Source organism: Homo sapiens, chromosome 22 (assembly GCF_000001405.40).
Source record: "Homo sapiens chromosome 22, GRCh38.p14 Primary Assembly".
NCBI classification, from domain to species: domain Eukaryota; kingdom Metazoa; phylum Chordata; class Mammalia; order Primates; family Hominidae; genus Homo; species Homo sapiens.
The window spans coordinates 36,776,474-36,797,214 of NC_000022.11; the positions used below are offsets into that span (position 1 = coordinate 36,776,474).

The 20,741-nt window shown below is 49.5% G+C and overlaps 1 annotated feature.

Annotated features, from left to right (window-relative positions):
- Window positions 475–1,038: an enhancer, noted in NCBI's record as "H3K27ac hESC enhancer chr22:37172992-37173555 (GRCh37/hg19 assembly coordinates)". NCBI's record gives its function as "activates a minimal SCP1, AML or CMV promoter by ChIP-STARR-seq in primed H9 embryonic stem cells {active_cell/tissue: H9 hESC(primed)}" and the evidence as "EXISTENCE:reporter gene assay evidence [ECO:0000049][PMID:30033119]".

Here is a 20,741-nt window from a genome sequence, read left to right on the forward strand (position 1 = left end):
GGGTTCGCCTACAATGGGGCAGGTTGGGCTCTAGGCGGTCTGGAGCGGCGCCTGCGCAGTGGGCCAGGCCGCCGCTGTAGAGGTCGTTTTGACTTGCTCTGACTTCGCGCGGTTCTCGCGGCTTCCCCGGTTCCCGGGTTCTGCACAGCGCGGCTATTAAAGTGCATGGAGAAGTGCAGTCCTTGCCCCGCATCCCGCAGGGAAATCTCATTTTAAAAGCTCAAAGATGTAATGAGCGTTAAAATCTAAAATATGAAGGTGTTTTATTAAAGTGATGTTTGTGAACAAAGGGAGAACAAATACACTTTGATGGGGCTAAGCGGTGAGACTCGGAAACTTGAAGTCGTACTTTGCTCTTAGTCCATTTACTCTCTGCAAAAGGAGAATGCATCACTAACCTCGTTTGCCCGTCACCCAGGGAGGCTCTCTGTACGCGTTTACTGGGTTGGGGGTGCCTCTTGCACGTGGTTAGGGGGTCAGAGACCTAAATCCCTGGCCTGGACAAGTCACCTCATCCCTCAGCCTCAGGATGGGCCTAGGAGAACCCGCCTTGTGGGGTGGTTGTGGAGATGGAAGGAGAGAAACGTATGAGTGCCTGGGAGATAGTAGGTGCACACGTGATTGTGGGGTGGATGGGAGAGCGGAAGCTTATCTGGACAGATTTGGTTTATCATCACTGTCACTGGTTGGCCGAATGTACCCCTTGTTCTCACTTTCTCAGGGCCCCTGGGATTCTGATGGCTGATGCTGAAGGGAAGAGCAGCCCCTCAGCAAAGGTGCCTGTGCGAAAGTTCCACATTCCCTCCAGACACCTAGAACATTCCACCTCTCCGCCACTCTGCATCTCAGAGTGGCTGCCAGCCTTGTGTGGGGGAATAAACACACACACTCTATGAATGGCTGATGGTTTCAGCCCCGAATCCAGAGTAAATGCAAGTTGTCTGAGATGTTCTTTCCTTGGGATTCATTCCTGGCGCTACGGTAAAGGTCTGTTTCTCCTTCATTTCTCGTAACTGCTTTTCTTCTTTGGTGACATCACGTGAGTCTGTCTCAGACATCCAGGTCTGAGTGAGCAAAAAGCCTCTTTCTGGTCTTCTGCCTTCCTCTTGCCGGCTCCCCTCCAGGCCAACCTGTTCACCATGAGTGACCCTGTTAATCCCTTAAAGGACCCCATTTGGTGAGTCACCCTCCCGAGGCAGCTCCACGTAGCTAAGACACAGACACACATCAGGGCAGCCTCCGAAGCCTTGGTTCCTTCATTTTGCGAGGTGGGTAATGACAGAGCCGGAGCATAGCCATCTTGGACAAGCACTGCCATTTTAAAGTTCTCCTTGATCAAAAACGGCCTAAATTCAACCCAAAGGGCATCAGCCTAATGGCTAATGTCAGAATGACCATAAACCACAAGTGACATCTCCAATCAGAAACATTCCAACCCTAAGATAAACCCACCCCCCGACCAGAGACATGCAGCCCCAAGATAACCTCCCCTCTGGTCAGAGAGATGTCAGCCCCAACATAACCCACCCTCAGACCGGAGACATTCCAACCCCACAGTAAACTTCTCCTCCACACAGAAACATTCCAAGCCTGTGGTAAGCTCTCTTGCCCTAAACCCTTAAATACTCTTAGTCTGTAAGAGAGAGCACTCCTGACTGAAATTGGCCAGAAGCCCCTCTCAGGTTTATGCTCCAAAATAAACCTGTATTTAACTGTTGAGCCACTTTTCATGTTTCTTGCCTCTTTCTTTAACTCTTGCAGGTAATAATCACACCTCCCTCCCAGGGCTGTTCTCTGTTCCCCACCCACTGTCTCCCTTTTGTTGCTGCTACTCTGTGTGATTTTAGTCAGCATTATCATAAGAGCATTGTAGAACTTTCTAGAGAGATGGTAAACACTTGTATGGTGAATTCTGTCCCCCTTCACCTCATGGACCCAAGGGCCTTCTATACATTTCTGTGACTGAAGGTAAGCTGAATGAGAGTCACTAGGTTTAAGGTGGTCAGAGAATTTTGGAGCCATGGGGGCTCCTGAGCAATTCGAGTTATCCCATTTCTGAGCAGCTCTAATAGTCACAGCTGGCCTATGTTGACCACAGACTTAAGGCTGGCCTTGTTCTAAGTGATTTTAGGGATTAATTAGTTTAATTTCACATTTACATTTGATATTCACAATAACCATGTATCATCCCCATTTGATAGATGGGGAAACTAGGGCCCAAATGAGATTAAGTGAAACACCGAAGGTCACCTAGCTAGTGAGTAGCAGAGATGGATTTGAACTCCTTCTCACCCTTCCTAAAGAGCAAATACTTATTGAGTTCCTTGCCGTAATAACTTGCGTTGATTGAGCATTAGATGTGAGGCATCTGCTAAGCACTTCACATCCTCTCTCCTGTATGAAACCATGACCCTGGGAAGTGGAAACTCTCATTCATTTGAAGAAAGGAAAGAGCCACAGAGAGGCCAAGGTCATGCAACAAGTCAGCCAGATCCAGAACCAGCCTCAGATCTCTTGACTCTGGGGACCAATGTTTGTTTCTTTGTTTTCCCCCATTATCCAGCATAGTCTCTCCATTTTCATTAATTAGCTTTTCTTGAGTGCCTACCATCAGCCAGGCATGGTGTTGGTTGCTGGATCCACTGAAGGGTGGGGATGACAGAGCCCCAGGCTTTACCTCTGGGTGAGATATCACGGCAATGTGGGAATACGGGCCCAGGGTTGCACACTTTTCTAGAGGAGCCAGGAATCTGGATTTTTGTGTGAAATCCCCTGACCTGTTAGTGTTGGCAATGAACTTAAATTTAAAACACTGTAGCTGCAGTAGAAACCTCTGTTGACCGGTTCAACCTGGGGGCTGCTCATCTACGATCTTTGGTAAAGAAAGGAAGACCAACATGTGGACAAGTCACTGTGCCACAGGTGGATATGGGACTCCCTATGTACACCTCGAGGAGCATTCCTAACCCTGGGTGGATGGAGAGGGAGTCGGGAAGGATATTCTGAAAGGAGAGCCTTGTAGGAATTTGCGAGGTGGACACAGGGGAAGGCAAATGCTGGGTGGATGGGTCAGCACATGCAAAGGCTCAGAGCTCTGGGAGGGCAGCAGATGGAACACACGGTGGAATGGCAAGACCCAGAGTAGAACCCTTGTTTGAGGAATTAATTCAACAAATATTCTGTTGAGTGCTTGCTAAGCACTAGGACGTAGAGGTGGACAGAACCATCTAGCCCAGTGGAGCGGCAGATGATCAAGCAGTAATGATCTATGATTGCATGTAGTCAATGTTGAATAGGGGAGGATGTGGTGCAGAAAGAACAAATACCCTATGCTCTGATCCCTGGACTGGCACACCAGCATCACCTGGGGATTAGTAAGAAATGCATTTTCCCAGGCCCCACCCCTGACCAGCTGAACACTGGAGGTGGAGCCCACAATCTGCTTCCATAAGGCCTCCTGGTGACTCCGACACAAGCTCATGTTGAGAACTGCTTTTCTTAGCTAATGCCAGGACCCACCTTTATCTACTCTATTGGGTCATTTTACTGTTTTTCAAGCTCCTCGGGAACGTTCCCACCGCAGGGCCTTTGTACGCACTGTTCCCAATGAGGCTGTATGACTCTCCTTCATGATCTTCAGATCTCAGCTCAAACGTCATGCCTTCGGGGAGCCCTCCCAAACACACAATTTAAGCATCGCCCCCAATCTGTCAGTCTCAATATCCTTGACTTACTTTACTTTCTTCATAGCGTTCACTACTACCAGAGATTACACAGTCTGTCCCTCTGTATCCGTGGGGGATTGGTAACCATGGATATCAAAATCCAGGGCTACTCAAGTCCCCTATATAAAATGTTGTAATATTTGCACAAAACCTACACACGTCCTCCTGTATACTTTAAGTCACCTCTAGATTACTTTCAATAACTAATACAATGGAAATGCTATAGAAATATTGGTATACTGTATTTTATCTGTATTATTTTTATTGTTGTATTGTTATTTTTTTATTTTTGCAATGTGCAGTTAGTTGAATCCAGAGATGTGGAACCCGTGGATGCAGAGGGCCACCTATATTCCATATTTATTAGTTTATTTATATGGTATCTGTCGCCCTCCACTAGAAGGTAAGCTTCATGAGAACTGACACTTGGTCTCTTTTGTTCACCCAGTATCTAGGACAGTCCCCTGCATGGTGAGGCACCCCGTAAATACTTCTGAATGAATGAATGACTCTCATAGGGTTTACCCTTCCGGTTGTGTATTCATTCATTCAACAAGCACCAACTCTTGAATATCAGTTTTTGGGCAAGCAATGGGCTTACTACTGAGAGATGTGCAATGACCATTCAGATGGGGTAACCTCATCCTGGGTCCTCTCCCACCCCTAGCCTGCACCCCTAGCTACACCCATATGCTCTGTGGAAGAGGAAGTATTAACAGTGCTGCTTCCCAAAGCCAGGGACTAGACTGTTGGGGCTGATTACTGGGGCTTTGGATAAGAGGGGAGTGGAGGGGCAGCTGCTGACAAGTTGTTCCCAGAAATTGTTCAATCATCCTGGGGTTGAACACGTCCCGACATCCCTGAAGAGCAGCATGCGGATGAGCCACGGCTCCCTGCCAGGGACAGCAGCAACATTCCACGCACAGCGCCAGGGCTGATCATCCCCAATGCAGGGCCCAAGCCCCTTTGCCACTGTGTCTTGACAGCCAGGGGGTTCTCCTTCTGCCTGGGCCCCATCACAGCCCCTTCACTTATAGGGTGTAGTAGCAGAATTGTTGGATGGAATCCAACAATTGGGTAAATAGGAGATTTTAGGGGAAATTAAATAATTGAGAGTGATTCTGCATGAATTCTCAAGAAGAATATCTTTCATACATTAAAGCAGATTTGCTCAAATGCCCTCATGTCAGAGGCAATGCCAAAAAGAGAGTGCTAATAGATTTGTAGAAATTTTATGTATTTAGATCAGGGTTTCCCTACCTCGGCACTATTGACATTTGGGGGTGAAGGGTTCTTAGTTATGGGGGCTGTCCTGAGCAATATAGACAGCATCTCTGTCCTCTGCCCACTAGATGCCAGAGCAAGCTCCCTTGCTGAGACCACCAAAAATGTCCCTGGACATTGCCAAATGTCCCCTGGGGGGCAAAATCTTCCACGGATGAGAAGCACTGATTTAGATGTATGAACCCACTGAATAAAGGATATTGATTTTGCACTTGCAATCTACAAGGCCTTGGGCCTCGGGCTTCCTGGGCTTGAATCTTTGTCTTGCCACCTCTCCTCTGTGTCTCAGTCTCCTCCCACCTGCTCCAGTAGGCGCTTTGAGGCTCAGAAGAGTGGCCACATGCAAGGGGTCCCCAGCACGCCTGACACGTGGTAAGACTCAGTGAGCACCAGTTCTGATGAACAGCCACTGGGGTGGCCATGAGTCCCTGGAGGAGGATTTATAATGCGGTGGTACAGTTCTGTTTTACAATTTCCTATAACGCACTGTCACATCTGGTGCACTGCCTTCTCTCGGTAATGACCTTTGCTGTTCTTTTTTCCACTGTTCACGTGGGCCCGGTTGTTTATGTCTCCGCTGATGCAGTACTTGGCGGTGGCCATCTCAATAAAGGGCAGAGGAAATGGAACTGACTCACCTTCTGTGCGCCCGGAATGCAAAGTGGAGGCCTGAGCTGTGGCCTCGGCGGGGCACGGAGGCCGCGATGTCCTGATTCTGTCAGCAGGGGGCAGCAGCAGCCGGGAAATTGTCTGCTGCAGGAGGGCAGAAGGGCTGCCGCCTTTTGACTTATTTGCTGCCGCCTTTATTTAAAGTTGAGCAAATCATCCCTCCAGAGCCACCCGGAGGCCCCCTTTAACAGCCCGAGATACTCCATCTGCAGAAGCCAAGAGCCGCTTTTCCAGAACGTTCCACATTAGTGCATCTCTGTCCGTTTGCTCGCCAACTGAGAATGAGAGGCTGAGACATCACCTGGGCGCCTCTCTTTGAGGCGCGGTGCTTTGATTTACATCCCAGAGCCAAGGGCTCCTGAGTCCTGCTGGAGAGTTCTTCTCGCACCTGCCGCCTTCCCTCACTGCCCCCTTTCCACACTCCACGCATAAAGCCTGGGTGGTTGTGTTCAAGGAGGGCCAAGGAATTCTGGGTGCCCCAGGCTGAAGCTATGTCAAATTCTGCTAGAGGCAAAGTTGAGTGGGTCCCTGACACTCTACCCTTTTTTCCCTTCCCCGGCCCCCACTCCATATAACACCCTGCAGCTGCGCGACACAGTGCCCTTCCCAGAACAGCCCTCCCCCGGCAGCTGCACCCACCACACTCAGGGCCCATCTTAGTTGATTCCTCACCTCATGCACTTGGAAACTTAATAGCCCAGTTTCATTCTCGCATCATACCTTGGAATACGCCGTAGACATCCTGGGTTCCATTTTCCACCCAGCGGCCAGCATCGTCCTTTACAAATCTTAATTTCGGATAGGTAATCTCACCCCAAGATTCAACATTTAAAAGAGAAAATCTACAGAGAACGTCCCCTCCGTCCCGCCCCTGACAGTTGCTTATGTACCCTTTCGGAGAGATTTTACATATATCCCAGCACAAAAGCACATACACATTCTTTTTTTTTTTTTTCCTTGGGACAGAGTCTTGCTGTTTCCCAGGCTGGAGTGCAATGGCGCAATTTCGGCTTGCTGCAATCTCCGTCTCCAGGGTTCAAGCCATTCCCCTGCCTCAGCCTGCCGAGTAGCTGGGACTACAGGCGCCCGTCACCACGCGTGGCTAATCTTTTGTATTTTTAGTAGAAACGGGGTTTCACCGTGTTAGCCAGAATGGTCTCGATCTCCTGACTTCAGGTGATCCGCCAGCCTCGGCCTCCCAAAGTGGTGGGATTACAGGCGTGAGCCACCGTGCCTGGCCACATACACATTCTCATTCTTTCTCTCCTTCTTCCCTCTGCAAATAGAAGCCAGCACCCGCTCTTCCATCTAATGTACTTTGGAGTGGCCCCATGTCTGTACTCAAAGTGCGCTCGGTCTTTTGTGTGGCTGAGTCCCGTTCAGCTGTAAAAAGTGATACTTCTAAATATCACCGCATTTCCACTGAAAGTCCCCCAAAGGCTTCCCACTGTGCTTGGGGGAAAGTCCACCTTTCCCACGGAGCTGTCAGGACTGGTGAGTGGGCAGTGCCTCCTCCCTGGCAGTTTTCATCTGCCCAGCAGCTGGCTCTCTGCATCCTCACATTCGACTTGCCCGTTCTGCCTCAGGGCCTTAGCCCTGCTGCCCTCACTCATCTAGTTAACTCCTGTATGCCTTTCTCAGCTCAAACATCATTTGCCCTCCATGTCCTGCACACTCTGGACACCAGTGGCAGTCACCACCACTTGTAGTTACTGTCGGGGCACACCACTGCAGGCTCTAGAGCCAGACAGACCCCTGGGGTTCAAATCCCAGCTCCACCACTTCCTTGCTGTGTGACCTTGGGCAGCTGACTACACCTCTCTGTCCCTGTTTCCTCCCATGTGGAATGGGAGCATGAATAGATCCCTGGTCCTGGGGTTTTGTAGTGGGGATTAAATGACTGGCCAGAGCAAGCCTCTACTACCTGCTGGTGCAAATCTTTGAGGGAGGACCACGTCTCCTTGGCAGCCATCATATCCTGGTGCCTGGTTGATAGTAGGAGTTCTATAAATATGAGTCAAAATGACTGCACTTTAGTATGGGTCTCTGTAGGAATCATCGTCTTAACCCACTGGTTCTCAAACTGAGCCGCTCATGATACTAGTTAATAACATGATAATAACAGCCAGGCTGGGTGTGGTGGCTCACGCCTGTAATCCCAGCACTTTGGGAGGCCGAGGAAGGTGGATCACCTGAGGTCAGGAGTTCGAGACCAGCCTGACCAACATGGTGAAACCCCATCTCTACTAAAAGTACAAAAATTTGCCAGGTGTGGTGGCTCACACCTGTAGTCCCAGCTACTCAGGAGGCTGAGACAGGAGAACTGCTTGAACCCGGGAGGTGGAGGTAGCAGTGAGCCGAGATCACGCCACTGCACTCCAGCCTGGGCAACAGAACGAGACTTCATCTCAAGAAAAAAAGAACAGAAAGGAAAAGAAGAGAAAAGAAAAGAAAAAAGAAAAAAAATTAACAGCCTGCCGTCACTGACCCAGGCCAGGCTCTCTCCTTAGATTGTGTCATCTCACTCTCACAACCATCTGGACAGGCAGGTAGCATCATGATCTCAAGATCCCTATTTTACAAGTGAGGAAACTGAGGTACAAAGAGATTAAGTAGCTTGTCAGAGGTCACACAGTAGCTGAGCTAGGAGTCAAATTCAGGAAGCCTTCTAGGAAACAATAAACATTTGATAAACATTGTCTTAACCCAAAGATGCTTATCTCTGTGACTAGGGGAAGGGGCTCTGCCTAATTCTATTCTGGGCAGGTGTCCAGACCCAGCTCAAATGCCCCTCCTTCCTCCTACCTCCAACCCTGCATCCCATGTCCTGATTTACACCTGGACTCTCAGAGAGGAGAGGTGGCTGTTCTACCCAAACCAATCCATCTAATTAAGGATTTGCAGCCCCTGATATCCTCTCCAGCCAGTGCCCTGACTGTTATCCCCTCTGAGCCTTCTGCGTCTGCTGCCCTCTGCCACCCCTGCTGCCCACACAAGCTCGAGCCTTTCCCACATCTCCAAGGGAGACCATCCCTTATTCCTGCATTTCATCCTTGAAAGTATGGCTCCTCCAAGGACTTTCCAGGCCCTCTTTCATTCCCTCACCTCCACTTATTCCATGATATGCCACAAACCATCTTACCCCAAACCTGTGTCAAAGGTTACTCATGGCCAGGCGCGGTGGCTCACGCCTGTAATCCCAGCACTTTGGGAGGCCGAGATAGGCAGATCACTTGAGGTCAGGAGTTCGAGACCAGCCTTGGGCAACATGGTGAAACCCTATCTCCACTAAAAATACAAAAATCAACCGGGCATGGTGGTGCATGCCTGTAATCCCAGCTACTCGGGAGGCTGAGGCAGGAGAATCGCTTGACCCCAGGAGGTGGAGGTTGCAGTGAGCTGAGATTGCGCCACTGCACTCCTGCCTGGGTGACGGTGAGACTCTGTCTCAAAAAAAAAAAAGGAAAATCACTCATGGCTGGGTGGTCAAGTCCAATGCCAGGGTTTAGGATAGGGGACACTTTGCGCTTACTATGTGCTAGGCCTGGAATAAGCACTTAAGCCTCATAGTAACTGCATGAATTGGGGACTATCATTATGCCCATTCTACAGATGAGGAAACTGAAGCACAGGGACGTTTAGCAATATACTAGCCATGAACCCACCTTCTTAGCCACTGGCCACACTATCTCCAATGGAGCATCTCTGCAGAGGTGGCACTGCCTCTCCTTCCTCCCGGCATTCCTCTGCCTTGCTTGGAGACCCCTCTTCTCCTGCTTCTCTTCCTGCAGCTTCCCCCTCCACTGGGCTTTCTCCCATACCTTGGAGCCTTCTCTGCTCCCTGCTCCTGAAGTGACTCCCCTAGGGCTCATCCTGACCCTTCCTTCCCTCCAGGGGCTTCCTGGTGAGCACTTTCTCTGTCACTTGACAGACAGCAGTCCACTTGATATGGCTGGGCTTGGGACAATAATACCTGTAACCTCCCTCTTCTTTAAAGAGTTACCACGAGGGTCAAAACTGACACCACGTAGTGCCTAAGCGTGCTTTGCAAACTGTGAAATGCTGGACAAAGGTAACGGCTGTCACTGTTACCATGATCAGCTCCGTTCAGAGGTTGGTTCCCTCATCCTCTCCTCCAAATATTTTTGGCACAAGTCGTCAGCACCCATATGCGGCATCTGGGAGCTGAAATTCAGAAGCCGCCTAACGGGTTGTGAAAATATCCGTTAGATGTTCAGGCTATAAAGCTGGGGGGCCTTTCTCCAATGGAACTGCAGGGGAAACGCAGGCTGGCTGAGAGAAGAGCATTATCCGACTGGGCCAGTGGGGCAGGACTCCAGGCTGCCTCCCGAGCCTCTTAGAGCTGTAAACAGGCGTGATTGTTTTGGCAGGAGGCATCCCACTGTCAAAGAGGAAGCTGATGAGATGCAAAGCAACCCAGACCCTTTCAACTTCTCCCACCCGAGGGTGGTGTGCCCAGTGATGCGAGCACCCGGTAGAGGGACAGGAGGGCAGACATTTAAGCCAACAGATCTGAGTTTAAAGTCTGAGCAAAAAACATGTCTGTGGCCTACTCTCAGTATCCCCATCTGGCTTGCTGGGAAAGATTTTGAACATCCTACCGACTTAATCTTTGTTGGGAAAACACAGTTTTGGGATATGCCGAGCTGGAGAGTGGGCTCTGAATTGTGTAATATACTCCCCGACTGCTGGACTTCACCTGGTCTGGTAACTCTTACCTGGGCTCCGTCCATTTTCCAGAGGAGGAAACTGAGGCTCAGCTAAATGCATCAAATGACACGTGGACACGAAATAGCTAATAAGAAGAAGGACTGAGACGAGAATTGAAATCTTCTCTCTCCAAACCTGAACCCCCTGGCTTACTGGCTGGGTGATCTTGGGAGAGCTCGTGAACTTCTCTGAGCCTCTGTTTCCTTATCTGTAAAGTGGGGCTGATGATGAGACCTACCTCTGAGAGCTGTGAGGGTTACATGGGATTCTTACATGGAAACCACTTGGCCCAGCCGAAGAGTAAACACTGGGTGAATGCCCCCGGTTATTACTACTTTAGGGCACACAGTTGTTAAATAAATAGAGGAGTGGATGAATAAATAAATGCACTCTTTTCTCTACCAGGGACTGGAAGCTTTCTTTGCAAGAAGCCCATGAAGTGTAGGCAATTTCCTTTTGATGGCAATAAAGTTGGGCCTCGCTTCCTCTGTGATTCACATTCTTGAAGATCTTTCCAAATGCAGAGAAAGGGCTGGCCCCAGATCATCCGACATGGTCTCTCTGGTGATGCTGACAAGGTGACGTTTTGGATGATTATGCAAGAAACCTTCCAAGAACTGACCCTCTGCTCCAGCAAAAAGCTTTGAATTTTGCAAAACTGCCGGAGCATAGCAATTTCTCATCTGGCGCTGGCTCACCCAGTGAGCTTTGCAGGCATCCCAGAATTGTCTCTGAAACACTCTGCCCATTGCCCTCTCTTCGCCCCTCGAGAGTTAACAGATGTGAGCGCTACAGGAGAGGGTGACAAGTGGCCCAAGACCTGGAGAAGCTGGGGTGGTAAGAGCAGGGCGCAGGCTTCTTGCTGGAGTGCATCCCAGGCGGCCCCGCAGGCTCTCTGGTGAATACAGAGAGCATCAGAGCACACTCTGTTTCCACAGCACGATGTTCAAGGGACTGGTCCTGCAGCGACTGCTTCCCTGCCACATTTGCTCTGGGCTGTGGAGAGCTGGCTGCTTTCTAGTTTGTGTTCCTGAATACTGGACACGCATCGGGACTGTGGTGCAAATAACCCCACAGGATAGACCAGTTTAGCTCGGGCTCCAGGATTAGATAAACCACATACAATCCCCAACTCCAACACTGGCTTGGTGGGGCTTCCCCAGGAGCCAATCCACAGCAAGGACTAGAGTACAAGTGGTTTATTGTAAAGTGATTCCCAAAGCACCTCCAGGGGAGTGGACAAGTGAGAGAGGGAGAAGGAGGAAGGCAGAAGGGGGAACTAATGAGCCCACCACCACCACCTGTGGTCTACAGAGGCTCAGGCCTGCCGGGCTCTGGGAGACTGCCTGGAGCTGACCTCAGATCATCCTGGCAGAGGGGAGGAAGCTGGTGTGTTCTGATCCAGCTCACTGTTCTGTGTTGGTTGAGGGCTGCACAGGGCACTGCTCTCGGGCGCTTCTGCCTCGGCCTGTGCAGGGGCTGAGTGGGCTCCCACAGCCCTTGGACAAGAGGCTTAGGTCTTCAGGGCAAGGGGGATGGGGGTGCAGGCCCCCCGGTATCTGGGATATGAGATCCATCACCCAGGCTTGGATGGAAAGTATACTCAACGGAGGAAGTGCTCAAGGCAGGAGGCGATTACTATTACAGTTTGCTACTCATGTGTCTGGAAGGGCCCTTCCTTCCTTGCTTCCTTCCTTTTTTCTTTCTTTCTTTCTTTCTTTCTTTCTTTCTTTCTTTCTTTCTTTCTTTCTTTCTTTCTTTCTTTCTTTTTTTCTTTCTCTTTCTTTTTCTTTCTCTTTCTTTGTTTTCTTTCTTTGTTTGTTTCTTTTTTTTTTTTTTTGAGATGGAGTTTTGCTCTTGTTGCCCAGGCTGGAGTGCAATGGTGTGATCTCGGCTTACCACAACCTCCGCCTCCCAGGTTCAAGTGATTCTCCTGTCTCAGCCTCCCGAGTAGCTGGGATTACAGGTGCATGCCACCATGCCCGGCTAATTTTTGTATTTTTAGTAGAGACAGGGTTTCACCATGTTGGCCAGGCTGGTCTCGAACTTCCGACCTCAGGTGATCTGCCTGCCTCAGCCTCCCAAAGTGCTGGGATTACAGGTGTGAGTCACTGCGCCCAGCTGGCCCTTTTCTTTCTTAACGTGAGAACGGTCTGTCTTTCAAATGCCCAACTTAGATGCCACATCTTCTATGGTACCTTTTAATGTTTTATTTTTTTAGAGACACGGGATCTCTCAACGTTGCCCAGGCTGGACTCAAACTCCTGGGCTCATGCAATCCTCCCACCTCTGCCTCTGGAGGAGCTGAGACTACAGGTGGACGCCAACGCACCCTGTATGGCACCTTTTTCTGCCTGTATTGGTTCCTCAGGGCTGTTGTAACAAGTGACTATAAACTAGGTGACTTAAAAGGACAGAGATTTATTCTTCCATGTTTCTGGAGGCCAGCAGTCTGAGATCCAGGTGTCAGCAGTCCCCCTGTGAAGACTCTGGGAACACTCTCTCCTTGCCTCTTCCGGCTGCTGGTCCCTGGCTGTGGCAGCATCACCCCAGCCTCCGTCTTCACCTCTGCCTTCACTGGGCTTTCTTCCCTGGGCCTCTGCCCGTCTTCTCCTTTTCTGTCTCTTTTAAGGACACCTGTCATTGGATTTATGGCCCACCCTTATCAAGGAGGATCTCATCTCGTGATCCTTACCTTAATTACATCTTCAAAGACCCTTATTCTGAATAAGGGCACAATCCGAGGCTCTGGAGGACCTAGCTTGTGGGGAGTGCTATTCAACCCACTACACTACGTGTTGTAAATTTTCTTTGATTTCTACAGCATTAGTTAGAATTACGTCTGTTTCAGGTACAGACTGCAGCAACTTAACCAAACAGGGGCCTGTTTTCCTCCTGTCACAGGCACTCTTTTTTGTTGTTGTTGTTTTTGTTTGTTTTTTGAAATGGAGTCTTGCTCTGTCGCCCAGGCTGGGGTGCAGTGGCATGATCTCGGCTCACTGCAGCCTCCGCCTCCTGGGTTCAAGTGATTCTCCTGCCTCAGCCTCCTGAGTAGCTGGGATTACTGGTGTGCACCATCACACCTGGCTAATTTTTGTATTTTTAGTAGAGGTGGGGTTTCACCATGTTGGCCAGGCTGGTCTCGAACTCCTGGGCTCAAGTGATCTTCCCACCTCGGCCTCCCAAAGTGCTGGGATTATGGGCACGAGCCACCCTTAGGCTGGCAGCTTGCAGGCCAGTGGGAGGGCTTTAAAGAGCCATCAGGGACCCAGGCTTCTCCTGGATTTCTAATGCCGCTGTCCTCAGCTACGTCTTTAGTTTCTGTGGTTATAGGAAGACAGCTCCGTCTCTGGGCACCAAGTCTGCATCCTAGACATGGCAAAGGAGGAAGACCAAAGCCAGAGGCTTCCGTGCAAACCCCACCCAGGGCTGCCTGTGGACATCCATAGACCAAAACCGTGTCCCCTGGTCAGGGGAGTATTTTCCACAGGGCACATTGCTGCCCTGCCCCTAAATGGGTTTCTGATGGAAAGAAAGAGGTGAGAATTAGTGGTGAGTAGGCAACAGTGATGATCAGTGGGTAATAATATGTAATGTCACCTATAAAAAATTAAACTCCACAGCATAAGCATGTCCCCAGGTCACTACAGAAGAGCCTCAGTATTTTAAAGGACACGTGATAGTATGTTTGTGGATGCCCATCATGTTTCTCAAGCTCTGCCCTTTCTGCATTGCCGCAGCTGCCTGTCTGCACGCCACCGCCTGTCTGCACGCCGCCGCCTGGCCCTGAGGGAGGCTGGGGCCAGGTGTGGGCACTAAGGTATGCCCAGAGCAGCATCAGAAGCAGGAGATGGTGGTGATGCCACCACTATGAGACAGCATCAGAGCCAGGAGGTGGCAGGCACACTGCAGGGACAGCCACTCAGGCAGAGCAGCCCACAGGAGGGACGTGAACTGCCAACTCATCTCTGAACCCAGTGACATCAGCACATCAGAGCCTTAACCCTGCTGGCGTTCTGAACTCTGGGTCAGGTCAGGAAGCAGAAAATAAGAACAACGGCATGGAAACTTCTCTGCCTCTTTAGGAAGTGGCACTTTCTTTGGATCCATCCGTTGACACCTGTGCTCAGTAGATAATCTGGTGAATGATTGATTCAACAAGGTAACAAGGAGCCAGCAGGAGGCTAAATGAGTTTTTAATGACTGTAAGTCATCTCAGATCACAGCGTCTCCAAGTTGGGAGGAACATGTTGTCTAGGGGAACTCTCCTGCTGATGCATGAGTTCTTTCAACAAGTTCCCTCATTTCCATTTGCATGCCTCTCATGACGGGATGCTCACTGCCTTGCAGAATGGCCGGTCTTACTGCTCTACGGCTCCAAGGGTAGACAGGGCTTCCTTAGGTTTAGTCAAGAGCTGTTGCCTTCTCAATCCCACTAGTTGTTCCTGATTTTGTGCCCACAGAATCACACAAAATAAACCCAGTTTCCCTTCAGACTCCACTCCCTGCCCCTAATTATAGAAAGGCTTAATTTTCTCCATTTGTAGGTGCTTTGCTTTCCTTTTTGCTTTCTGTGTTTATTTACTCAACGAAGATGTATTAAGCATCCCCTTTGTGCCAGGGAGCGTATGAAGTGCTGGGGTTACAACGGTGAAGGATTCCAGCACGTAGGAAACCTAAGAACGAAACAGGGAAGGTGGGTGAGGACAACGATAATTGCAGTGAAATTCACATGGCAAGCAACCAACCATTTTAAAGTGTACAAGTCAGTGACGTTCACAGTCATGTGTAACCACCACCTCTGGCTTCAAAACTTGTCACCACCCCAGAATACCTTGTACCTATTAAGTAATCACTCCCCTTTCTCTGCTTCCCCATCTCCTGGAAACCACTAATGTGTCTTCTCTCTCTACGGACTAACCCATTCAGGATATTTCATATATGTATTTATTTACTTATTTTATTTTATTTTTTTGAAGACAAAGTCTCACTCTGTCAGCAGCTGGAGTGCAATGGCACAATCTCAGCTCACTGCAACCTCCACCTCCCGGGTTCAAGTGATTCTCCTGCCTCAGCCTCCCTAGTAGCTGGGACTACAGGCATGAGCCACCACGCCCAGCTAATTTTTGTATTTTTAGTAGAGACGGGTTTCATCATGTTGGCCAGGCTGGTCTCGAACTCCTGGCCTCAAGTGATCTGCCCGCCTCAGCCTCCCAAAGTGCTGGGATTACAGGTGTGAGCCACCGTGCCCGGCCCTGGGTATTTCATATAAAAGGAATCATCTAATATGTCATCTTTTGTGACTGGCTTCTTTCAGGTAGCATAATGTTTTCAAGGTTTACCTAAGTTGTAGCACGTATCAATGCTTTATTCTTTTTTATGGTTAAAAATATTCCATTGTACGGTATGTCACATTTTGACTATCCATTCATCCATTGATGGACGTGTGGGTTGCTTTCACCTTTTGGCTATTATGAATAATACTTGCTATAAATATTTGTGTACAAGCCCAGGCCCAGTGGCTCATGTCTGTAATCCCAGCGATTTGGGAGGCCAAGGCTGGCGGATCACCTGAAGTCAGGAGTTCGAGACCAGCCTGGCTAACATCATGAAACCCCGTCTCTACTAAAAATACAAAAATCAGCTGGGCGTGGTGGTGCACGCCTGTAAACCCAGCTGCTCGGGAGGCTGAGGCAGGAGAATCACTTGAACCCGGGAGGCAGAGGTTGCAGTGAGCTGAGATCGCACCACTGCACTCCAGCATGGGTGACAGAGCAAGACTCTGTCTCAAAAGACAAAAACAAACCAAAAATATTTGTATCTAAGTCTTTGTGTGTATGTGTTTTCATTTCTCTTGGATATACACCTAGGAATGGAATTTCTGGAACATATAGAAACTCATGTCCCATAAACTTGTGTCCTAAATTTTTTTTTTTTTTTTTTGAGACACAGTCTCGCTCTGTCACCCAGGCTGGAGTGCAGTGGCGTGATCTCAGCTCATTGCAACCTCCACCTCCCGGGTTCGAGTGATTCTCCTGCTTCAGTCTCCTGAGTAGCTGGGACTAGAGGTGTGTGCCACCACGCCCCGCTAATTTTTTGTATTTTTAGTAGAGATGGAGTTTCACCGTGTTAGCCAGGATGGTCTCGATCTCCTGACCTCGTGATCTGCCCGCCTTGGCCTCCCAAAGTGCTGGGATTACAGGCGTGAGCCACTGCACCCAGCCTTTTAACTTTTTAAGGAATGGCCAAACTGTTTTTCACAGTGACTGCACCACTTTATGCTGTCACCAGCAATATATGCGGGTACCAATTTCTCAGCATCCTTGCCAATGCTTCTTATTTTCATTTTTTTGGATGACAGCCACCGTGGAGGGTGTACAGGCACCTCATTGTGATTTTGCTGTGCATCTCCTTAATTACAAATGGTGCTGAGCATCTTCTCATATGCCTGGTGGCCATTTGTATATCATCTTTGGAGAAATGTCTCTTCAAGTCCTTTGCCCACTTTTTAATTGGGTTGCATGATGGTTAGTTTTATGTGTCAATTTGACTGGGCCACAGGGTGCCCAGATGTTTGATGAGACATTCTCCCAGGTGATTCTGTGAGGGTGTTTGGGGATGAGTTCATATTTAAAATAACTGAATAAAGTGATTGCCCTCCTTAATGTGGGCGAGACTCGTCCAATTAGTTCAAGGCCTGAATGGAACAAAAAGGCTGACCCTCCTCCAAGGAAAAGAAAATTTCTTTCACTGCCTTCAGCCTGGGGCATTGGCTTTTTTCCTGCCTCTGGACTCAGAAGCTATACCATCAGCTCTCCTGGGCCTCCAGCTTGCCGATTCATCCTGCAGATGCTGGGGCTTGTTCATCTCCCTAATTGTGTAAGCCAGTTCCTTACAACAAATCTTTTTTTTTTTTTTTTAATAGATGGAATTTTGCTCTTGTTGCCCAGGCTGGAATGCAATGGTGTGGTCTCAGCTCACTGCAACCTCCGCCTCCTGGGTTCAAGTGATTCTCCTGCCTCAGCCTCCCAAGTAGCTGGGATTACAGGCATGTGCCACCATGCCCAGCTAATTTTGTATTTTTAGTAGAGACAGGGTTTCTCCATGTTGGTCAGGCTGGCCTCAAATTCCCGACCTCAGGTGATCCGCTCGCCTCAGCCTCCCAAAGTGCTGGGATTACAGGCGTGAGCCACTGCGCCTGGCCACAAATCTTTTTATGCACTATATACATGTGTATACACACACACACACACACGTACATATACAAGTTGAGAAATCTCAGATCTGAAAATCCGAAATCCAAAATGCTCCAAAATCTGAAAATTTTTGAGAGTCATTGTAATGCTCAAAGGAAGTGCTCTTTGGAGCAGTTTGAATTTTGAATTTTTGGATTTGGAGTGCTCAGACAGAAAGTGTAACGCAAATACTTCACAATCCAAAATATTTCTGCTCCCAAGCATTTTGGATAAGGGATACTCAACCTGTGCGCCCACACACACAAATGCACACACACACACACACACACAGCCTATTCTGTTTCTCTGGAGGACTCTAACACAGGTTGTTTGTCTTTGGTTGTTGAGGTGCAGGCGTTCTTTACATATTCAGGATACTAAATCCTTACCAGATGTAGGATTCACAACTATTTCGGTCCCTTTGAGAAGACAGATGCTTAGAGAAGCAATGAGTATGAAGTGGAGTTGGAAGCACAGGGCAGGAGTCCCTCAACACAGATGCTCCCGAGAGCAGGCTTAGCTGGCTGATGTATGGTGGAGCCCATTGCACCTGGCACTGAATAGGTTCTCAATAAAGAGTTGTCAGTAAAAATGAGCAACTACATTTGGATGTTGGGTGGGAATAAACAAGGCTTCCCAGAAGGAGCCTCACTGAAGCTGAAGCCTAAGGCTGGTGTAGCAATGAGCCAGGCAGAGGAGAAACAGTGATGTGGCCGAAGGAATAGCTTATGTGAGGGCCCAGAGGAGAGGGAGGACATGGCAGTTTTGAGGAATGGCACATTTTATGTAGTTGAAGCAGAGAATGCAGGGAATGAATGTGGGGTTGCAGGGCTAAGGTGGGAGGTGAGAGAGGAGAACGCAGGAGAGTCGCGAGAAAGGGGAAACGGTGAAGTTGGAAGGGATCAGACATGAAAGGTTTTGTGGGCTGTAAAGGAGTTTGGGGCCCTCTGCGAAAGGGGGAGGAAGAACAAAGCTATGAAGTGTTCATGAATGAATGGCAGCCATAAGAAGGCCCAGTGCTCTCAGGCCCCCGGGAGGATGCAGGGGAAGCTGACTCTTCCAGGCTCCTTGCAATTTAAATTCTGGCTCTGTTCTCCATCAGGCAAAAAGTGGGGTCAAACAAGTGGATTCAGGAGTCTCAGCAAAGCTACTTAAGCTGCATTTCCTCATCTGTATGACAGGGGCTGTGAGGAGCCTGCAGGCTCCAGTGACAAACTAGAGGATCGTGTCCTAAGCCCCCAAATTTGACCCTCACAAGATCCCAAATAAAGGACACAGAGAGGACACATTCCTGCGAATGACTTCCCTGAGGAGGGAACAGAGAGGGGAAACTGAAGGAGGGTAGGGCAACCGAGAGTGGAAATTGACGGGGGGCCTTTTGCGGCACAGTTCAGGGTCCAGGCGGGCTGCCCAGGCCTTCCTCCTCTGTCGGCACTGAGGCAGGAAGATAAGAAGGGAGCCAGGAACACCAGGCCTCTGTCCCATTTGCCGAACCACCTCTTGTAAACAGTCTTCTGGGTCTAAATAAACCAACATCAGATTCACCCAATTTGAATCTTCCCAGACTAATGCGTCTGCGTGGCCGCAGATGCCTTGGGGACGGGGAATCTTTAATGGGAAAGCAAAGAGGGAAAGAGGCTGAATGCTTTGAGAAGTGATTTCTTCGATGAAGTCATCCTCTAAAGTGGTTAGCTGTGTCCGGCACAAGTAGGCACTCAGAAATCATTTGTCAAGTCAGTGAATACATGTTTGCAATTTTCACTTTTATTGGCTGTGTGGTTTGGGCAAGGTGCCTAACCTCTCTGAACCTTCCTGTATAAAATAGAGAGACATCTCTTCCGTGGATGGCTGCAGTGTGGATTAAGACATGGTGCCTTAGTCCATTTGGACTGCTGTAAAAAAATACCTTAGACTGGGTAATTTAAAAACAACAGAAATTCATTGCTCACAGTTCTGGAGGCTGGGAAGTCCAAGATCAAGGTGCTAGAAGACTTGGTGTCTGGTGAGGGCTCTCTGCTTCATAGATGGTGTCCTGTTGCTATAGCCTCACATGGTGAAAGGGCAAAGGGCTAGGAACCTCCCTTAGGGCTCTTGTATGAGGGCATTCATCCCATCCATGAGGGCTTCTCTCCCATGTCCCATCACCTCCCAAAGGCCCCACCTTCTAATACCATCACCTTGAGAGTTGGGTTTTGACTGTGGATTTTGGAGGGACACAAACCTTCGGACCATAGCAGATGGTATATGCAAAGTGTCCAGCAAGAAGGAGGGAGATGCAGATTTGGCATCCAGCTCTGTCCAGCCGCAGAGCTATAGCCCTGCACAGTCATATTATCCAGGGTCAGGTTAAGAGCAGAGGGCAGCTCAATCCTGACTTTCCCACCCATCCTTCCTCTCCGTGGAGTCTTTGTTCTGATGCTCCTGGCTCTTCCTTCCCCGCTGAGTCCCCTGTCTTCTAGCTCTGGGACATCAACGCATCCAGGGAGCCAGTGATCATTCATCACTCGATGAAGCTGGGCTGCTCCCAGCTCTTATTAAAACCACTCAGAGACAGATTGATTTGGGGCCCTTCCTCCAGCCTGAGCTTTCTCCTTCCTGCTCCCAGCCTCTAAGACAAAAAGGCATAGAGATAAACAGCAAGCCTCCTATGATCATGACAATGAAGAGAAGGAGCTGCATTCAGCTGATGAGAAAACCCGGAGGCGGCTGGTGGGGCAGGTGTCAGGGCAGTGGGTGGCTGGAGACTGAGGAACTGGAGCCCAGTGATACCGGGCCACAGAGGGGTATGCTGGGCAGGGAGGACTTCCTGTCATGCCTGCATTCCTTACTGAGTTAGCAGGTCCCTATGGATGGCACTATGGCAGGGGTGGGGCAGCAGGGGCCTGGGGCCAAGCCCCGTTCTGCTCTGCACTGCTATGTGGCCTTGAGTGAGTCACAAGCCATGTTGGGCCTTTATGGCCACATGTGCATCAGGATGGGTGAAGCCCAGCATCTTTTTGGTGCCAGGTTCTGGGATTTAGCAGGACCCCTGCAGACATGCCCTACTTTCAGGCATTGCATGGTCTTTGGGAGGGGTGGACAGGAATCAGATTGTCAC